This window comes from Homo sapiens, chromosome 2 (assembly GCF_000001405.40).
Source record: "Homo sapiens chromosome 2, GRCh38.p14 Primary Assembly".
Taxonomy (NCBI): Eukaryota; Metazoa; Chordata; class Mammalia; order Primates; family Hominidae; genus Homo; species Homo sapiens.
In genome coordinates, this window is record NC_000002.12 from 25,271,647 (window position 1) to 25,289,237 (window position 17,591).

The 17,591-nt window shown below is 53.1% G+C and overlaps 1 protein-coding gene across 12 annotated transcripts in view, besides 8 other annotated features; it reads right to left on the reverse strand.

Moving 5' to 3' along the window:
• DNMT3A (DNA methyltransferase 3 alpha) overlaps positions 1-17,591 on the reverse strand; it is a 114,717-nt gene that overhangs the window by 43,773 nt on the left and 53,353 nt on the right. For 8 of the 12 annotated variants that reach the window (NR_135490.2, NM_022552.5, XM_005264175.6 and 5 more), the window contains 3 exons: positions 10,795-11,065; positions 3,854-3,897; positions 3,295-3,441 (listed from right to left, as the gene is read on the reverse strand). Coding sequence is in view for 11 of the 12 variants with exons in the window: in NM_022552.5 (NP_072046.2) it covers positions 3,295-3,441; positions 3,854-3,897; positions 10,795-11,065 (462 nt within the window). In the remaining variant the exon portion in view is untranslated. Of the gene's footprint in view, positions 1-3,294; positions 3,442-3,853; positions 3,898-4,417; positions 4,521-5,574; positions 5,747-9,805; positions 11,066-17,591 lie in introns of those variants that run through there. The other 4 variants (NM_175630.1, NM_001320892.2, XM_047443592.1 and 1 more) reach the window with 3 other exon arrangements.
• Positions 1,404-1,904: an enhancer, noted in NCBI's record as "H3K4me1 hESC enhancer chr2:25495919-25496419 (GRCh37/hg19 assembly coordinates)". NCBI's record gives its function as "activates a minimal SCP1, AML or CMV promoter by ChIP-STARR-seq in primed H9 embryonic stem cells {active_cell/tissue: H9 hESC(primed)}" and the evidence as "EXISTENCE:reporter gene assay evidence [ECO:0000049][PMID:30033119]".
• Positions 3,793-4,012: an enhancer, noted in NCBI's record as "active region_15445". NCBI's record gives its function as "activates an Ori minimal core promoter by ATAC-STARR-seq in GM12878 lymphoblastoid cells {active_cell/tissue: GM12878}" and the evidence as "EXISTENCE:reporter gene assay evidence [ECO:0000049][PMID:35858748]".
• Positions 4,636-5,227: an enhancer, noted in NCBI's record as "H3K27ac-H3K4me1 hESC enhancer chr2:25499151-25499742 (GRCh37/hg19 assembly coordinates)". NCBI's record gives its function as "activates a minimal SCP1, AML or CMV promoter by ChIP-STARR-seq in naive H9 embryonic stem cells {active_cell/tissue: H9 hESC(naive)}" and the evidence as "EXISTENCE:reporter gene assay evidence [ECO:0000049][PMID:30033119]".
• Positions 5,286-5,915: a silencer, noted in NCBI's record as "silent region_11251". NCBI's record gives its function as "represses an Ori minimal core promoter by ATAC-STARR-seq in GM12878 lymphoblastoid cells {active_cell/tissue: GM12878}" and the evidence as "EXISTENCE:reporter gene assay evidence [ECO:0000049][PMID:35858748]".
• Positions 5,286-6,407: a biological region, named in NCBI's record as "H3K27ac-H3K4me1 hESC enhancer GRCh37_chr2:25500333-25500922".
• Positions 5,818-6,407: an enhancer, noted in NCBI's record as "H3K27ac-H3K4me1 hESC enhancer chr2:25500333-25500922 (GRCh37/hg19 assembly coordinates)". NCBI's record gives its function as "activates a minimal SCP1, AML or CMV promoter by ChIP-STARR-seq in naive H9 embryonic stem cells {active_cell/tissue: H9 hESC(naive)}" and the evidence as "EXISTENCE:reporter gene assay evidence [ECO:0000049][PMID:30033119]".
• Positions 6,408-6,997: an enhancer, noted in NCBI's record as "H3K4me1 hESC enhancer chr2:25500923-25501512 (GRCh37/hg19 assembly coordinates)". NCBI's record gives its function as "activates a minimal SCP1, AML or CMV promoter by ChIP-STARR-seq in primed H9 embryonic stem cells {active_cell/tissue: H9 hESC(primed)}" and the evidence as "EXISTENCE:reporter gene assay evidence [ECO:0000049][PMID:30033119]".
• Positions 15,181-15,230: a silencer, noted in NCBI's record as "silent region_11252". NCBI's record gives its function as "represses an Ori minimal core promoter by ATAC-STARR-seq in GM12878 lymphoblastoid cells {active_cell/tissue: GM12878}" and the evidence as "EXISTENCE:reporter gene assay evidence [ECO:0000049][PMID:35858748]".

A 17,591-nucleotide genomic window follows, 5' to 3' on the forward strand; every position in this document is an offset into this window, starting at 1 on the left:
ATGAGATCAGTAGTTCTAAAACTTGTACTGGAATTCATGGATTCTTTAATTACAGCATAGGAATAAGGAATAATGTTATTAGCAGAAAATATATTTTGTTTGGAGATCTCCACATTGCAAGTCAAGTGTACTAAAGTCTTTTAAATTAAATCAACATTTTGGTTTTTCTAATAATGCCCACTGCTACCTTCATTGGTTGGGAGTGGGGATGCAAATGCCAAGGGTTGAAGACTTACTAGAAAATCTTTTGATAATTGCTGGAGCCAGGTGATGGCAATGGGAGGTCGTTACACTACTCTCTGCTTCTGCATATGTTAGAAAATGTTCATGAGTTTTACAAAGTCTGTTTTGTTTTTTTGAGACAGAGTCTCGTTCTGTCACCCAGGCTGGAGTGCAGTGGCACAATCTCGGCTCACTGCAACCTCTGCCTCCTGGGTTCCAGTGATTCTCCTGCCTCAGCCTCCCAAGTAGCTGGGATTACAGGTGCCCGCCACTATGCCCAGCTAATTTTTGTATTTGTAGTACAGATGGGGTTTCAACATGTTGGCCAGGCTGGTCTCAAACTCCTGACCTAAGGTGATCCACCCGCCTCGGCCTCCCGAAGTGCTGGGGTTACAGGTGTGAGCCACTGCGTCCAGCCCAAAAAAGTCTTTTTAAATTTTAGTAGAGACCTAAAATTGAGAAAATGTATCTATGATCTAATTTTTCCTGGGAGTTGAGGAAAGAACCCTTTTTTTCACTGTAACTGAGGGCAGGCCTCCATACTGCTTCTTCAAGGGAGCAGAGTTTGAGAATCATGGAATTTCTGAAAGTTCTTCCGGTTCCTAAAAGTCATAGTCTAAGCTTCTTGCCCCAGGGCTAAATGAGAACAGAAACACTTCGCTCACAGAACCAGGAGCTAAAAAGCAAAGCCCCTGTTTCTGGGTTGCGGGGAACCCAGGAGTGCAGCGACTGACTTGGAGAGAAGAGCCCCATTCCTGAATTTCCACCCCAAACACAACATTCCACGCACAGGGGTAAGTGCCTCTCCTCCCAGACCTCAGACAGGCTGCCCTTTCTCCGGGCTCTTCCGGGAAAGTAATTTCTGCCTTCCTGGATCCCAGAGGAAAAGAAAACAATCAAGCAGCCAGAACCCCCACCCTGTTCTGCACTTTCTCTTTTTTTTTTTTTTTTGAGACGGAATTTTGCTCTGTTGCCCAGGCTGGAGTGCAGTGGCTCAATCTCGCCTCACCGCAACCTCCACCTGTCGGGTTCAAGCAATTCTCCTGCCTCAGCCTCTTGAGTAGCTGGGACTATAGGCACGCACCACCACACCTGGCTAATTGTTTGTATTTTTTTTTTTTTTGAGACAGAGTTTTGCTCTTGTTGTCCAGGCTGGAGTGTAGTGGTGTGATCTCAGCTCACTGCAACCTCCGCCTCCCGGGTTCAAGTGATTCTCCTGCCTCAGTCTCCTGAGTAGCTGGGATTACAGGCGCCTGCCACCATGCCCGGCTAATTTTTTGTCTTTTTAGTAGAAACAGGGTTTTGCCATGTTGGGCAGACTGGTCTCGAACTCCTGACCTTAGGTGATCCGCCCGCCTCAGCCTCCCAAAGTGCTGGGATTACAGGCATGAGCCACCACGCCTGGCTAATTTTTTGTATTTTTGGTAGAGACAGGGGTTCACCAAGCTAGCCAGGCTGGTCTCGAACTCCTGACCTCCTTTCAGCTTCCCAAAGTGCTGAGATTACAGGTGTAAGCCACCGCGCCTGGCCTCTGTTCTGCACTTTCTCTAGAGAAAGCTCTCACACAAAGGCGAACAGACAAACAGGGCCGCCTTCCCCTGGAGGCCTGGGGTAAAGACGAAATGAGAGCTGAGTTCACGTGAAGTGCCCCACGTGGTGGCAGTTTCCTCTCTTTTCCTGTGCAGCTAGGTCACCACCCACTTCTCTTTGTACCCAGTTCTCTACTAATCAAACATACAAGACAGCTCAAAAATTGTGCGTGGCGAGTTGATTTCCCTCCTCAGTCTTTCAGCCTCCATTTTCTCACCTCTCTGCATGGCTGAAGCCCTCCACGGGCTGTTCCCACCTCCCCGACCCCCACAGAAGCTTCTCTATAAAGTCACCAGCTCCTTTCCAGGTTGTCCAACGCCATGGGCATGTCTCAGTGAATTCAGCTTTCCCTAGGGCTGGGCAGCCACCCTCTGGGAAAACCCCGTGCTTCCCCAGACACCGCTCTGTACTGCTTTCTCCCTCAGTCCCTACTGCCTGCCACTCCTCCTCTCCATGTGGCCCAGAAATGTCGGGGTTTTCATGGACATGTTCTGAGACTTCGTCTCTCCTCCTTCTCCCCTTGCTGAGCCCTTAAGTTCCCATGGATTTAAATGCCAGGGTTCTGCTCTCAAATCCCACCTCTGTCGCCCGTACTTCCCTACAGCCCAGACTCCAGGCACCTGGCATCTCACACGGAGCCCTCAATTCCCACCTGTCCCAAACTCATCCTCCCCTGGGTCTTCCCATCTGAGCAAATGGCACAACCATCACCAGGTGTTCAGGCCAGACCCCTGTGAGTCCTCCTTGAGTCCACCAGTTCCCCTCCCTGCCGGTCCATCAGCAAGCCCTAGCTATTCTAGCTCCAAAATACACCCCAAAGCTCTTCTCTGTCTCCACTGCTGCCTCTCAAATCCACATCACATCCTTCCTGTGCACAGAAACCTTCTATGGCTGCCCAGTATTGTCAGAAGTAAGCCAGCTTTTGGGCAGACTCTGCAGGTCTCCAACTGATGTGTGGAGCCCCGCCTGCCTCTCTGGCTGCATCTGGCCCTTTCTCCTTTGCCATTTCACCCTGGCATACAGTTTGCCAAACAAGTCAAGGCCTTGCTGGTGCTGTTTCCTCTGCCTAGAACACTCTCCCTGACCCCACTCCTCACAGAGCCAGCTCTTCGGTTCCTTCAGACCTTAACTGAAATGCCACCTCCTCCAAGAAGCCTGTCTTGACCACCCCAACTAAAGCAGGCCTCTGCTATCTTCTATTTCAGCCCCTTGTTTCTTTATGTTCTGCCTGTCTCCCCCATCAGAATGTCAACTCCATGAGAGCAGGAACCGTATACGCCCAGGGTCTAGTACACAGCCAGGTATACAGTAAGTGTTCAATAAGCATCTGCTGAAGGAGCAGATGAACCAGTCATCATGACTAGAGATTAAGAGGCTCCCAGTAAGTTCTAAGGGTTAGCCTGAAGGGGAAACTGAGGCCCATCACTTCTGGTTTTCCAGTTCTGCAGGACGGGCTGGGGCCCAGGCCAGAAGGCGCCTCACCTCCCTTTTCCAGCGTGCCAGCCACTCGTCCCGCTTGCGCTTGCTGATGTAGTAGGGGTCCCCCGCCTGGAAGGTGAGCCTCGGCATGGGCCGCTGACGGAGGCTGGACTCCCAGCCCAAGCCACCCCGCAGCCGGCCCCGGGAGCCCTAGGACAGAGAGACAGACATTAGGGCATTAGGGTGGGCACTGACGGACCCACCAAGGAGGCACTCGCCTCAAACACAATGTGGACACTGGCTCCTGGCCAGAGAGGGCACCCCTGGGAGTGCTGGGCAGGCCCCGTGTGGGCTGGAGGAGCGAGGGGCATGTGTGGCGGGGGTGGGGGGGCACATGGACACGGCCACAGGCCACGAAGGGAGGCGTCTGGCCTCTGGAGGGGGATGAGCCGGCTGCCTTGTTGGGGGACTTCCAACCTCCACGCCCACTTCCTCTCCTTCCCACAGAGGGATGTGTAAAGAAGGAGGAGGGGCCCACCCTCCGCCCCCTCACACACACTCGCCACCCGTGTCCTTCTTCTAGAATCAGGATCCACAGAGCCCCTGGGGGTGGAACACTTGCCTCCATTTTCATGGATTCGATGTTGGTCTCCTTCTGTTCTTTGCCTGTGGAGAGGGAAGAACAAAGGGACCAGTTCGTTGGTCGGCAGAATTACTGGAGTGGCTCACAGGCCCCACCTTGTGCCTGGGGTCCCTGCCACAGGGGATGGGGGTCCTCTGGCCGTTTAGCTGTTCATGTGTTAAATATGATGGCCCACCACATGCCAGGCACAGTGCTGACCCTGAGGACCCAGCAGGGCCTAGGGCAGAGAAAGAACTCGGGCAGGGGCAGGCCTTGAGGCCCAGGCAAGAGGGAACACGAGGAAATTCAGAGCTGGGTTTCTGGCCTGTCAACTCTGTCTCAGGTACACAGAAGGGGACTAAAAATACCCCCATTCTGCTGCTCCCAGTCAAGAGACCTCCTTCCCCAAAGGAGGAGCAGGAAGGCAGAGGGGGTGCGGAAGGAGGAGGGGGTGCAGGAAGGCCTGGGCCAGAGGGCCAGCCTGAGCGGCCTCCCTGGCCCTGCAAGGGAGTGTTTGCAGAGGCCTTCTGGGCATAAGGGCATGTACTGGGGGGCGGTGGGTACCGGGCCAACTGGAACAAGACCCCGGTGAAGCAACTTCCTCTCTACGAGACTCAGTTTCCTCATCTGGAAAATAAGGATGCTGGATGCGATTTCCAAGGTCCGCCTGCAGGTCCAAATATTATGATTCTATTACTAATCTCATTCTCCGTCCCTCCACTCCCTGCCCCATGCTCAGGCCCCTGAGCTCAGCCTTTAATCTAGAAGACTTGAGTTTGGATTCCAGTGTGACCTCTGTAACCTCTCCTGGCCTGTTTTCCCACTGAATCAAGGTAGATAAATGTTCTAAAATCATTAGGTTATGGTGAGCATTAAGTGCCTACTGTGGGGCCTGGCATACTGTAGGTGCTCAATACATGTTAGTGTGGTTCTCCTTCCCTAAGGATTCATTTCCTCTACTGGGCCCTGATTCCAGGTCCTGGCAGGGAAGTCTCAATTTCCCTATTGAGACCTTGCCCTCTCCCTGTGCTTCTCCAAGCCCCCAGCATGAGGGGAGCTGCGCTCCTCCCAGGCATCCCCCTGCACTCCCCACCAGGTCCTCACCACCCTTTCCAGGCACCCCTTCCAGGCCCAGCGCCCCGGAGGCTGCGGGGCTGGCTGATTCTGCCTCCCATAGCTTCTTGCTGGAGGTGGGGAAGTGAGCCCTCCTTCCACCTGGGCCCCTGAGCTTCTTTGTCGGGAACCGACAGCGTATCGGGCCTGGGCCCACTGCAGGAAGGTCACTAAGGCTGGCTCATGGTAGCTTGGGGTGGGGGGAGACAAAGAGCCTGAAACGGAAAAAACAGCCCCGACTTCATCTCCTGGCTGTGAAGCGGAAGCCAGCCACAGTGTTCACGCCGCGGGTCCTCAGCCCGGGAGGCCACTCCCTTCCCTCGTGACAGGGGGGTCCTGGACTGGTTTTGGGCTGACCCCGGGCGCCCAGGACAGCGCTGTCCTCCGTGGTTCTGTCCCTGGTGACAGCGACTCCCGCTAGCTAGGCCCGGGAGCACCAGGGGGAGGGAGGCAGGAGGGCCACCGTGGGTGCGGGCCTGGCGCCGGGCTCAGCCCGCGGGGGCCGCGTGGGCGGGGACGGGGCGTCTTGTCGCGGGCACCTGTGCGCGTGGGCGGGCGCGCACTCGCCAGCGCTTTGTTCGTGACCGGCCTTTTAAGGGCTGTCTCACCCATCTTGTCTGGCTCTGCCTCCCTGTTTCCTTTCCGTCCTCTCTCCCACCACAGCCAGCTCCCCACTTTTTTCGCGGGGGCCCCCTCCAGCCTGTCCGGGGCCTCCCCGTTCCCAGGCCAGGGCTTCCCCCTCCTCCCAGACCTCGTTGCTCTGCCCGGTGAGGCCCCGGGCTCCCAGCAGGGGGCGCCTGCTCGCGATCAGGTGGCGGCCTGGGGGCGGCCTGGCGGTCCCGGCGGACCCTGACGCGGCGGGGCTCCGGGGCTCGCGGTGGCGCTGGGAACCACTGTGTCAGCCCTGCGGCTAGGGCGGGGAGTGGAGGACCCCCGGGCTGGCTCTCGGACCTGGACTTGGGGCTTCCGACTGCATTTTCTCCCCAGCCCGCTTTAGAACCTCAAACGTTTCCTACTTGGGACCCTCCATGGCATTTAATTACTTTTACGGATAATTATTTATTCATTAGAATATTAGAAAATCAGGGTTGAAAGGCTTTGCAGAGATCATTGAGTACTTGTTCAGCACTTAAATTTTGCAGAAAGCTGAGACCTGGGGGGTGGAGTGACTTAAGGCCGGAGCTGAGATGAGCTTTTCAGGGGTCCTGATGCCCCGGCAAGCTCCCTCTCCGCTGCACCACTACTGTTATTTCTCAATGTGACCCCCTTCCTAATTTCCCAGCCCCCCAAGCTCCCCAAAACAGAACGATTTTTCCCTATGCAGTTTCCAACTGGCTTCTTTCTGGAATTTTCTCCCTGACAGACTCTGCGCATGCCCACTTGAGTGATCACACACACACACACACACACACACACACACACACACAGACACACACGCTTTCCAGCCTGGCCGGGCCGCCTCGGAATGCGGCACTTGTCGTGAGTCAGGGAGGGTCAGCTGCTCTCTCAGTACGGCCTATGCAGCCCAACTGCTCCTGGCCCAGGCCCAGGGTCACCGCCAGGGCCAGGTGGTTGTGACCTTCCAGTGTGGCCCTGACAGGCCCGAACATGACCCTAGTGCATCTCAGGACTTGGGGGCAGGGGAGGCCAGGGTGCTTCTAACACTCGCCTTCGAGTCTGAGCTATACTCAGCCAGAGGCCACCCAAGTTCTCTTTAAAATGAACTCAAATCTCCATGACCAGGCTGTAGCCAGGTTTACCTCAGAGGGCAGTCACTGGCCTGAAAAGGGGCCCTATGCTCAGAGTAGAGAGGGGTTTTGTGCTGACCCTAATCCGGTCTCTCACCAGTTGCATAATCTTGGGTAAGTAATTTAACCTTTCTGAAGCTTCAGTCTCCCCATCTGAAAAATGAGGATAATAAGAGTCTTCCAGGCTGAGTGCAGTGGCTCATGCCTGTAATCTCAGCACTTTGGAAGGCCAAGGTGGGCAGATCACTTGAGATCAGGAGTCCACGACCAGCCTGGCCAACATGGCGAAACCCTGTCTCTACTAAAATTACAAAAATTAACCAGGTATGGTGGCTGGCGCCTGTAATCCCAGCTACTCCGGAGGCTGAGGCAGGAGAATCGCTTCAACCTGGGAGGTGGAGGTTGCAGTAAGCCAAGATTGTGCCACTGCACTCCAGCCTGAGCGACAGAGTGAATGAGACGCTGTCTCAAAAAAAAAAAAAAATCTTCCTCCCGTGATCACACATGGGGCATAATACACAGCAGAGCTTCTGAAACTTTCATATACATGGGAAGCATGAGGCCCTCTTTAAAATGCAGATTCTGATCCAGCAGGTCTTCAGTGGAGCCTGGAATTCTGCATTTCTAAATTCCTGGGTGCTGCCAACACTGCTGGTCTATGGACCACTGTGAGTAGCGAGGAGAGAGAATGCCCAATACAGTCAATACTCAATAAGGGAAAGCCACATCGCCACTGCCACCTGAATCATCATCATTATGGCATTAATGCTGGCGGGGGCAGGAACAGACCCAAGACAAGCACAGGCCTGTCGGGTGTTGGCTCCTGTCCCTATCACTCATCTCATCATCTCCCGTCTTCCTGATTCTTTCTCCTGGCTGTACTTTCAGCACATGCTCAGGCTACAAGAAACGCTGCCTTAAAAAGTCTGTTTTTGCTGTACAGGAGCTAATGAAAGGGGTTCCAGGAGAGCATCCCCTGAAAAGAGACCTGGAATAAGGGGAACTGAAAGGAGACCACGGCCGAGCCACATCCTCTCCGGGGCCTTAGTCTCCTTCCTCATCTGAATCAACCAGCTGAGCATGTGTTCTATGTCAGCTGACTGCTGGAACCGTGACCGAGCCTCCACACCCTGATTAAGCCACTGTCCGTTGCATATTGGCAGAGCCTAGGCCACTGCCCACCCCGCGAGGTAACATCTCACCAATTTCAGCTTCCAGGCAGTGCAGTGGCCTTCAGGGATCCTACCAGCTCTGATCCCTGCCAGAATCTATACTTCCTGGATAGCTGGGACCACACAGGAGTGTACCAAGGCCAAAGTTTGTTTTTTTTTTTTGTATTTTTTTGAGATGGAGTCTCACTCTATTGCCCAGGCTGGAGTGCAGTGGCACAATCTTGGCTTACTGCAACCTCCACCTCCCGGGTTTAAGTGATTCTCCTGTCTCAGACTCCGGAGTAGCTGCGACTACAGGCATGCACCACCAAGCTCGACTAATTTTTTTTTGTATTTTTAGTAGAGACAAGGTTTCACTGTGTTGGCCCGGCTGGTCTCGAACTCCTGACCTCAAGTCATCTGCCCGCCTGGGCCTCCCAAAGTGCTAGGATTACCAGCATGAGCCACTGTGCCCAGCCTCAAGGCCAAATTTTGGAGGTCAAGGAGACTTAAAGAGTTTTTGCCCACCACACTCAGCACTAAGATTCTAAGGAAGATCCACCTGTCTGAAAGTCCCAGACCCAGGAATCATCCTTGACAGCATCTCTCCCTCACCTCTCATGTTCCTGGCATTTGTCCCCTCCCTTCATCTCTGCTGCCATCCTGCTCATCAGCCCCTCCGATGTCATCCTGCTTCCCAGCTCCTCCATTCCATCCCAGGATCCAGATGACATGAGCTTTTCAAATTGCAAAGCTGATTACATCACACACACTGCCCACTCCCCGCCTCCCCACCCCCCGCCTCCCCGCCCCCCCACCCCCCACCCCGGCAGCCACCTTTGAAGGCCTGGCCTGTCTGCCCCAGCACTTTCCACACCCTTCTCCTTTGCTCTCTGCACTCTAGCCTTGTGACATCTATCAGTTCCCTGGGTGCCCTGCTCCCTCCCACCTGGGAGCCTTCTTCCCTGTTCTCACTCTCTCCCTCTACCCCTCACCCAGTGGACTCCCTTCGCCCTTCAGCTCGCGCTGGACAGCCCAGGCCAACTCAGGTTCTTCGTTGCAGTTCCCCTGGACATGTTTCACTTCCCTTAGAGCGCTTATCTCCATGTGTAATCTCATCTTTTTAAGGGTGGATTTCTCATTAATGTCTGTCTCTCCAGCTGACTGTGAGGTCCTTGAGGGCAAGAAGCAGGTTTTTGTTCATAATAGTTTCCCCAGTCCCTGGTATGGATCCTAGCACACCCTGAATGGGTGTTTTAAGAAACACCTGTTGACTGATCGATGCAGGAGCCCTTGAGAACAGCTAGAAATGGAAGTAGGGAAATCCCAAAGTGAAAACAAACCCTCAAGGCCAGAGAACAGCTTTGGGGCTATGGCTCCATGCTTCAGGGCAGGAAGGAATGCCGTGACCCTGGGTAGCAGCTCGGCAGGAGTCATGGTGGGGTCCTGGGAAGCGAAGTCAACTGCAGTCAGCCCATGGGAAGCACCACATTTGGAAGGGCAGGGCTGATGGGTTCTCTCACACACCTGGCATTGTTAATGGGAAGGATGGTGTCTTCTCCCTTTCCTCATCTGTTTCACTCCCCTCAGGCCCTTCCCACTCTCGGGAAGTATCAGAATATGTGCAAGAGGCCTAGACAATTCAGGACCCGTCTCCGCACCAAGTCCCATTCCAGGACAGCGGAAAATAGTAGAAAGGCACAAGACCAGGACTGAATGAGCCCTGGATCTGCCACTTAAGGTTGGGGCTCCATGAGCAAGTCACATCATTGTTTTAAGCCTCAATATTTTTCTCCTGAAATGAGGATAATCATATCTCTTGAATAAGATTGTTAGAGGAGTAAATAAAACAACTAATACAGATTCCCTCTGTAGTGTTCTGCACATAGTGGGAGCATCATACATATTTGTCGAATAATAAATGAATAAAAGCTTCTTAATAAGTTTGGAAATTTGTATTCTGGAAATGTTCTCTATCCTGCATGAACATTAGGTTGGATCCATGCAAAATAAGTTACGCCAATTAATCAATTTACTCATTTCATCATACACGCTTGGAAGGAAGACTTTTTGAAATTAAAATGCACATATGCAAAACAACCTGGCAGGGCCCTGGGAGGATCAAATGTGATAATGTATGAGAAAGCGCTTTGTAAACTGTGAAGCCCTGTACAAATGCTAGTTGTCCTCATTACTAACATGTTTACAGCTCGGTTGGCCCTGAAATTGCTGGCTTAACCTGAAAGAGAAAAGTGGGCAACTTTCCAGGCTTCCAGGGTTAGGCCAAAAAGTCCCCAGATGAAGAGGCCTGGGCTGGGCAGTACACAGAATACAATCACCCAGCCCTCTCCCCACGCCACTGTCACAACCAAATTTCCAGTTGAGTCAGCCCAACTAGGGTGGGCTCAGGACCTCTGCACTCAGGGAGGCAAACAGGGTATCTGCTGCCCTTGAGTGCCCAGGCCAGGGGCTACAAATACAGCAACCCCCAGGAACTGCATGGCACGTGGGAGAGTAAGCAGGCCAGGTAGAGCTGCAGAAAACTAAGGCCCACAACCAGCCACAGAAGGCGATGGAGGGACCGCCATTATCCCAGTCTAGCAATCGTTGGCGTTATGAAAGCCCGCTGTTGCCAGATCTAGCTTTTTTTTTTTTCATGAGAAGCCAAAACTCCAGATTTTTATGTGAAATTTTTTGATTTTTAAATACTGGCAACTAATTTTTTAAATGTTTAAAACACTCTATGGGCCAAATAAAACATATGCGCAGGCTGCATCCAGCCAGTAGCCTCCAGGCCATAGCCTTGGCAAGCAGACCTTTAGCCACGACCCAGACCATCCTTCCTGGGACCTGCTGGAGAGCCAAGTCCCTGACTCTCAGGGTATGCTGGTGGGCCCAGAAGAGGCTGCCCCTGGTGCTGAGGACTCACCCGCTTCTGCAGGGGCTCCTCGGCCCTCCTTGGGGGTGCAGCAGCCATTTTCCACTGCTCTTGAGGCTTCAGGCAGGGTCTCAGCTGCACCCTCTCCCTCTGCTGGGGCCCCGCCCTTCTGCCCCCCAGCAGGGCTCCCCTCCTCTGGCTGGGGCTCACTCCGCTTCTCCAAGTCCCCATTGGGTAATAGCTCTGAGGCGCCTGAGTCCTGGGCCATGGATGGGGACTTGGAGATCACCGCAGGGTCCTTTGGCGTGTCACCGCTTTCCACCTGCAAATGTAAGAAAGATACACAAGAGGAGGGTTAGATCAGTGGGCTTAGCCTGTTTTGGATCATTGACCGCTCTGAAATTCTAGAGAATGTTATGCACTTTCTGTCCAGAAACTGTGTTCATATAAACCTTCATGCAAACAGATACATTCACAATTTTGCTTTCAACATCAAAGGATTCCTGGGCTTGACCCCTTGAAATCACGAGTCTGTGGACTCCAGCTTCAGAAACAGGAAAAGAATCCAAGCAGGTTTGCCAGCCTGGTTGCACTTCTCAAGGGATCGGCTCCCCCATCCCACCGCCACTCACTGAGGTTACATAGGACGTCCAAGCCTTCTCTGCAGCCCCTGTTAAAAAAGAAATGCTCCGGCCAGGCGTGGTGGCTCACACCTGTAATCCCAGCACTTTGGGAGGCTGAGGCAGGTGAATCACTTGAGGTCGGGAGTTTAAGAGCAGCCTGGCCAACATGGAGAAACCCCATCTCTACTAAAAATACAAAGTTAGTTGGGGATGGTGGTGCATGCCCGTAATCCCAGGTACTCGGGAGGCTGAGGCAGGAGAACCGCTTGAACCTGGGAGGCAGAGTTTGCGGTGAGCCGAGATCACGCCATTGCACTCCAGCCTTGCGACAGAGCAAGACTCCGCCTCAAAAAAAAAAAAAAAAAAAAAAGCTCCTTGTGCCACCCATAATCCAATAAGACCCCCCTCTCCCTTAGAAGATTCCAGTGCCACCAGATCAAGTCTGGGACTCAGGCTGGTCTGACTTCTGTGGTCAGTGCCCTCCCAGCTTTCCTCTTGGTCTCTTGAGGCATGAGAGTCGAAGGAGGACCCCCAAAAAACCATTCTGTAGGCTCATAGCCTAGCGTAGCCTTCTCCCCTGGCCTGGGCCGCCCCAGATTCTTTCAGGCACTCAGACCCAGAAGAGCCAAGGCTCTGGCAAACAGTTTTCAGGCTCTGCAACAACTCTTCCTGAGCACTGGGGTCTCTCATTCTCCCTTCAAGGGAAATCATTTCTTTATCCCCTAGAGTCTAAGAACTGAACTCGCTAAGGTTCCAGGTAATAAAAATCAAATAAAGAATAATCCTGGCTGTCTGTGTGTGTCACTGCGCAGTGGACAAAGCTCCTCACTTACTACCTCCTCAGAGTTTCTCAGCCTCCCTGGGAAGCAGGTGAGGAACCTGAGGCTCTCTGGAATTTTGTGATTTGCTCCAGGTCACAGGCTTTGCAAGGACAAAGCAAGAGCAGGAGAGCCGGGTGCCTGCTGTGTGCTCTGCTGTGTATATATATTCAGTCCTCAGCCATCCAGAGGCAAGTGGGCCAGGACACCTCAAGAAGAATGGAGGTGTCCAGTGTGGGACAGGAACAGGCAGGGGTCCCCATGGCTCGGCACTCTGCCACACCCACAGGCACCAGGCTGCACTCAGCAACTCTGCCTCGCTGGCTCCGTATGCAGAACACCTACCCAGTAGAAAGGCAGGGACAGCATCAGCACGGCAAGCCTCAGATAAGGAAGGCACTGCTCTCAGCATCTCAGTTTCCCCACCTGTCAGGTGGAGATGACTGGTCTAGACCAATGGAGATTTTGTCTTTCTTGTCTTTTTTTTTCTACTTATAAAAGTCAGTCACATATATCATAAAAAAATCAAACTGTAGCCAGGCGTGGTGGCTTACGCCTATAATCCTAGCACTTTGGGAGGCTGAGGCAGGCTCCCTCACATATCACCTGAGGTCAGGAGTTTGAGACCAGCCTGGCCAACATGGCAAAACCCTGTTTCTACTAAAAATTAGCTGGGTGTGGTGGTGCATGCCTGTCATCTCAGCTATTTGGGAGGCTGAGGCAGGAGAATCACTTGAATCCAGGAGGTAGAGGTTGCAGTGAGCTGAAACTGCTCCACTGCACTCCAGCCTGGGCAACAGAGTGAGACTCCATCTAAAAAAAAAAAAAAAAAAAAAAAAAAAAAAGACTATACAAAAAAAAAAAAATAATGCTAAAAGGTTAAAGCTCCTATTTCAGCTCCCTACCCCCAAAATCTCTCCCCTAAGGTACCCATTATTAACAGTTCAGTGAGCATCCTTTCCAGATTTTTTCCTATGCATTGACAATCATGTGTAAGTTACATGTTTATACATATGTATTCATATACACATTCAGATCCAGAAATGTTTTTTTCCAAAAGGGTATCATACTAGTCGTAATGTTCTGCAACTTGCTTTTTCACTTAACAAGCAGAGTGGGCATCCCTCCATCCCAGTGCAGATGGATCTGGATGCTCCAAAATGTATGCATGCCGTTCCCTGATGGTGGGCATTTGGGCTGATTTGCTTTTCACTGCAGTGAACACCCTTGCACTTACAGCTCTGTACAGCTGCGTGTTTCCATGGGACGGAGTTCCAGAAGTGGTCAGGCCGGGTGAAAGGGCCTGTCCAGCTAAATGTGCAGAGATACTGCCAAATTCCCTCCAGAGTTTCCCACCACTCAAGTGCACAGCCTGAGACAGCACTGGGTCCCCAGCCCCTCCCCTGCAAAGCCCTATTTCCAAGGCTGCTTTTGCTCTAACGGTCTAGGACCTGAACTCTCAACCCACTGTTATTTGGCAAGGAACGCCCAGAGGTGGCAATTAGGGACAAGGGCCTTGGGAAAACAAAAACAAAAACAAAACCAGAGTCTTCTCAGGTATGCTTTCCTCCCTGGATGGGGACCCGGGCACAGGGAGCAGCCGGAGAGGGAGCAGAAGGAACTGCAGGGCCTGCCAAGCTCCTTTCCTGCTGTGCGGGGCAGCTGGGCAGGCCTGCTTCCAGGAGGGAAGCACCCACAGAAAGCTGCATGTGTGTACTCCTCAGCAGTTGGAGGCAGGGGGCTGCAACGAGAGGAAGAGGAGGTGACTGGTAAAAGCGAGAAGTCCTCCACTGTGCTTGGGGGCTTGGGCTGATGCCAGCAGAGCCAGGAAGGCCAAATCCGGGAAGGAAAGTGGAACGGCAGACCCCTGCCTCCATCCTGTGTGTCAGGACCCTCCCCAGAACTCAGAACACCTCTCCTCCCTCCCTGCTTAAGCAAAGAGGGCATTTCCAGCCTAGAATGGTCCTCCCTGGTGTAAACCCTGTCTGTCACCCTTCAAGGCTCAGTCATGAGCCCCAGCAGCCTGAAAAGTGGAGTGTACCCCTGCACTGCAGCCACCTTCTGGGATCCAGCTGTTCCAGGTACCCCAAAGCCCCCAACATGGCACTACCATAGAGGTATGCGTGGGGTCCTGCCTGGCTAACTTGAGCTAAGAAGCTTAGGTCAGAGCCAGACTTTTTCATGGCTGCGTCTTCCTTTCTTCTCATCATTTGCTGCCCTGCAGACACCTCAGATTGGGGCAGGCTCTGAGCCCCGCAAAGCTGCTGGAGGCAACTCCACTGTCACTCACTTCCTGCCTGGGACCACATGGCCTCCTCTCATGCTGGGACTCACTTCCTGTTGACTGCTGGCTCCGTAGCATAGAGACCTATGAGGGCCGGCTCTGAGGCCCAACACAGCCCCAGGCTCCCGACCAACCCAGTCCTTCATGCACAAGAGTAAGCCCTGCCCTGGCCTTGCCCGCGGACCCCAGTCTGCAACAGCACCAGATGCGCCATTCTCCCAGAGATGCCCCCAAAGCCAGGTGGGAGCCGGGCATGCTGGGCAGATGATGGGCGAGCGGGGCATGTTGCACATTTCCAGCCCCGGGTTAGCTCACCCGCTGAAATCCCCACTCCCGCATCTGGTCCACACCATCCTCTGCCCAACCATCCCCTCCTGCTCACCTGCTCTCTCAGGTTCTGGATGAGATGATTCAGCCAAAGTTCTGGGATTTGGGGGGGAGGGCAATGACTTCTGCCACGCTCAACCCTTGATTCATCCTACCCATCAAGAACTCCCTCAAGCTAAGTGTGGCCCCTCAATGGGGCTCTCTGGGGCTCAGGGTGACCAGCAGGACAAAACCATCCAGAGGAAGGAAAAAGGTCCCAGTCAAATGGCCTGAAGCAACTGTCCAAGTCTCTGGGGAAGAGCTGGGTGCTCACTGAAGGAGCCATCCCTGGTGAGAAGGGCAGAAACCTCAGCCTGGAAGCCCAGGAGGGAGGGGCACCCCAGCCAGGCCTGGCCTCTTCTGCCCCCAACTCCATGTCCTCCTCCCAGCCACTCTCCTCCCCTCCTTTCCCCTGTCTCCACAGCTTGTTGACCTCTGGAGGGCAGAGACTTTGCTCGATCTGGAGGGCAGAGACTTTGCTCGATCCGGCTAGACTTAGCAGGGAGTGGGGCACCTGACAGGTGCTCAGACAATATTCACAATTGATTCGTGAATGGCAAAGACGAGGCTAAAAGTGAGAACCTCCTGCACTCAAGCTAGAGGGAGTTTCAGCTTTGCTGCCATGTCTGTTAAACAATCTGCTTTTGTTTGCTTTTGACAGTCATCTTGAAAGAGACACAGCACACCCCCGAGATACTCATGTTGCCCATTATCTGGGAGAGGGCTGGGTTGGGGGTGCCGACCATTCTAGAAGGCACCACCAGCAGGTGCAGCTGCAGGTGACAATTTCAGAATGGGAAAAGCCGCAGTAACTACCCATCACTTCTCCTCCCGTGGGGGGCCAGATGGGGGCCACAGGAGGGTTGTGAATCTAGTATCATTCTAGATTTCAGTACAGCTTGGTCCTATCACCCACTGTCCACCTACCCCCACCCGGTATACCACACTTTGGGTCTTCAAATCCTGCCCACCACTTCCTGGGGTCCCTCCGAGTTTGCCAATCTTCGCTTTCCTTCTGGGCAGAACCCCCACCTTGCCTCCGGCTTTTCCTCAGTCCTCTCCTGTGAGCAGCTTTTTGAGGCAGGTTAAGGCCGTAGTTCTCAACTGGGGCGATTTTGCTAACTCCCCACCAGGACATTTTGGCATGTGTGTGAAGACATTTTTGGCTGCCACAAGGTTAGGGTGAGGTGCTGGCATCTAGTGAGTAGAGGCTAGGGAAGCTGCTAAACACCCCACCAGACAGAGGACACCCCCGCCCCCAACAGAGATTTAGTCCAGACAAAATGGCAATAATGTCTTTGAAAAACCCTGGGCTGAGGGTAGGGGCAAGGACAGGGACTGTCTTTATCAAAGGAACACTTTTTTTTTTTTGAGATGGAGTTTCGCTCTTGTTGCCCAGTCTGGAGCACAGTGGTGCAATCTCGGCTCACTACAACCTCCACCTCCTGGGTTCAAGCGATTCTCCTGCCTCAGCCTCCCAAGTAGCTGGGATTACAGGTGTCTGCTATTACACTTGGCTAACTTTTTGTATTTTTGGTAAAGATGGGGTTTCACCATGTTGTCCAGGCTGGATTCAAACTCCTGACCTCAGGTGATCCACCCACCTCAGCCTCCCAAAGTGCTGAGATTACAGGCATGAGCCACCATGCCTGGCTTAAGAAACACTTTTTTTGGCCAGGCATGGTGGCTTACGCCTGTAATCCCAGCACTTTGGGCGGCTGAGGCGGGTGGATCATGAGGTCAGCAGATTGAGACCATCCTGGCTAACATGGTGAAACCCCGAATCTACTAAAAATACAAAAAATTCGCCAGGCGTGGTAGCAGGCGCCTGTAGTCCCAGCTGCTGGGGAGGCAGCAGGAGAATGGTGTGAACCTAGGAGGCAGAGCTTGCAGTGAGCCAAGATCGCTCACTTTTTTTTTTGAGACGGAGTCTCGCTCTGTTGTCCAGGCTGGAGTGCAGTGGTGTTATCTCAGCTGACTGCCACCATGCCTGGCTAACTTTTGTATTTTTAGTAGAGATGGGATTTCACCATCTTGGCCAGGCTGGTCTTGAACTTCTGACTTCATGATCCACCCACCTCAGCCTCCCAAAGTGCTGGGATTACAGGCGTAAGCCACTGTGCCCGGCCTAGAAACACTTTTTTAAACTTCTAAAAACCTGGGGTAAAACATACATAACATTTACCATTTTAACCATTTTCAAGCATACTTTAAGTACACTCTCATGGTTATACAACCTTTACCCCCATCCATCTCCAGAACTTTTCCACGATCCCAAACGGAAACTGTCTCCATTCAACACTAACTTCCCAGTTGCCTCTCCCCCAGTCACCACTCTTCTACTTTCTGTCTTCTAAGGAGCATTTTAAAGGAATGCTCCTTTAAATGGAAGGATCTGGACCCCTCAGCCCCCTGTAGTTGGCAGGTGTGGACAGCTGCTGGCCCAGCCTTGCCCTGAAGGGTGGGGGTGAACCCACCGCAGCTGTCACTCCTGTCCCAGCCAATGCATGCCACGTTTGTTTACAAAGCCCTTTCTCACCCAATCTCCTTACAATTCATACCTCTGAATCTAATTATCTGTTTACTGTGGCCTCCCTCCTCGACTGTGAGCCTTGCCTTATTTAACTTTTTTTTTTTTTTTTGAGACCGAGTCTCGCTCTGTTGCCCAGGCGAGTGCAGTGGCGCGATCTCGGCTCACTGCAACCTCCACCTCCCGGATTCAAGCGACTCTCCTGCCTCAGCCTCCCAAGTAGCTGG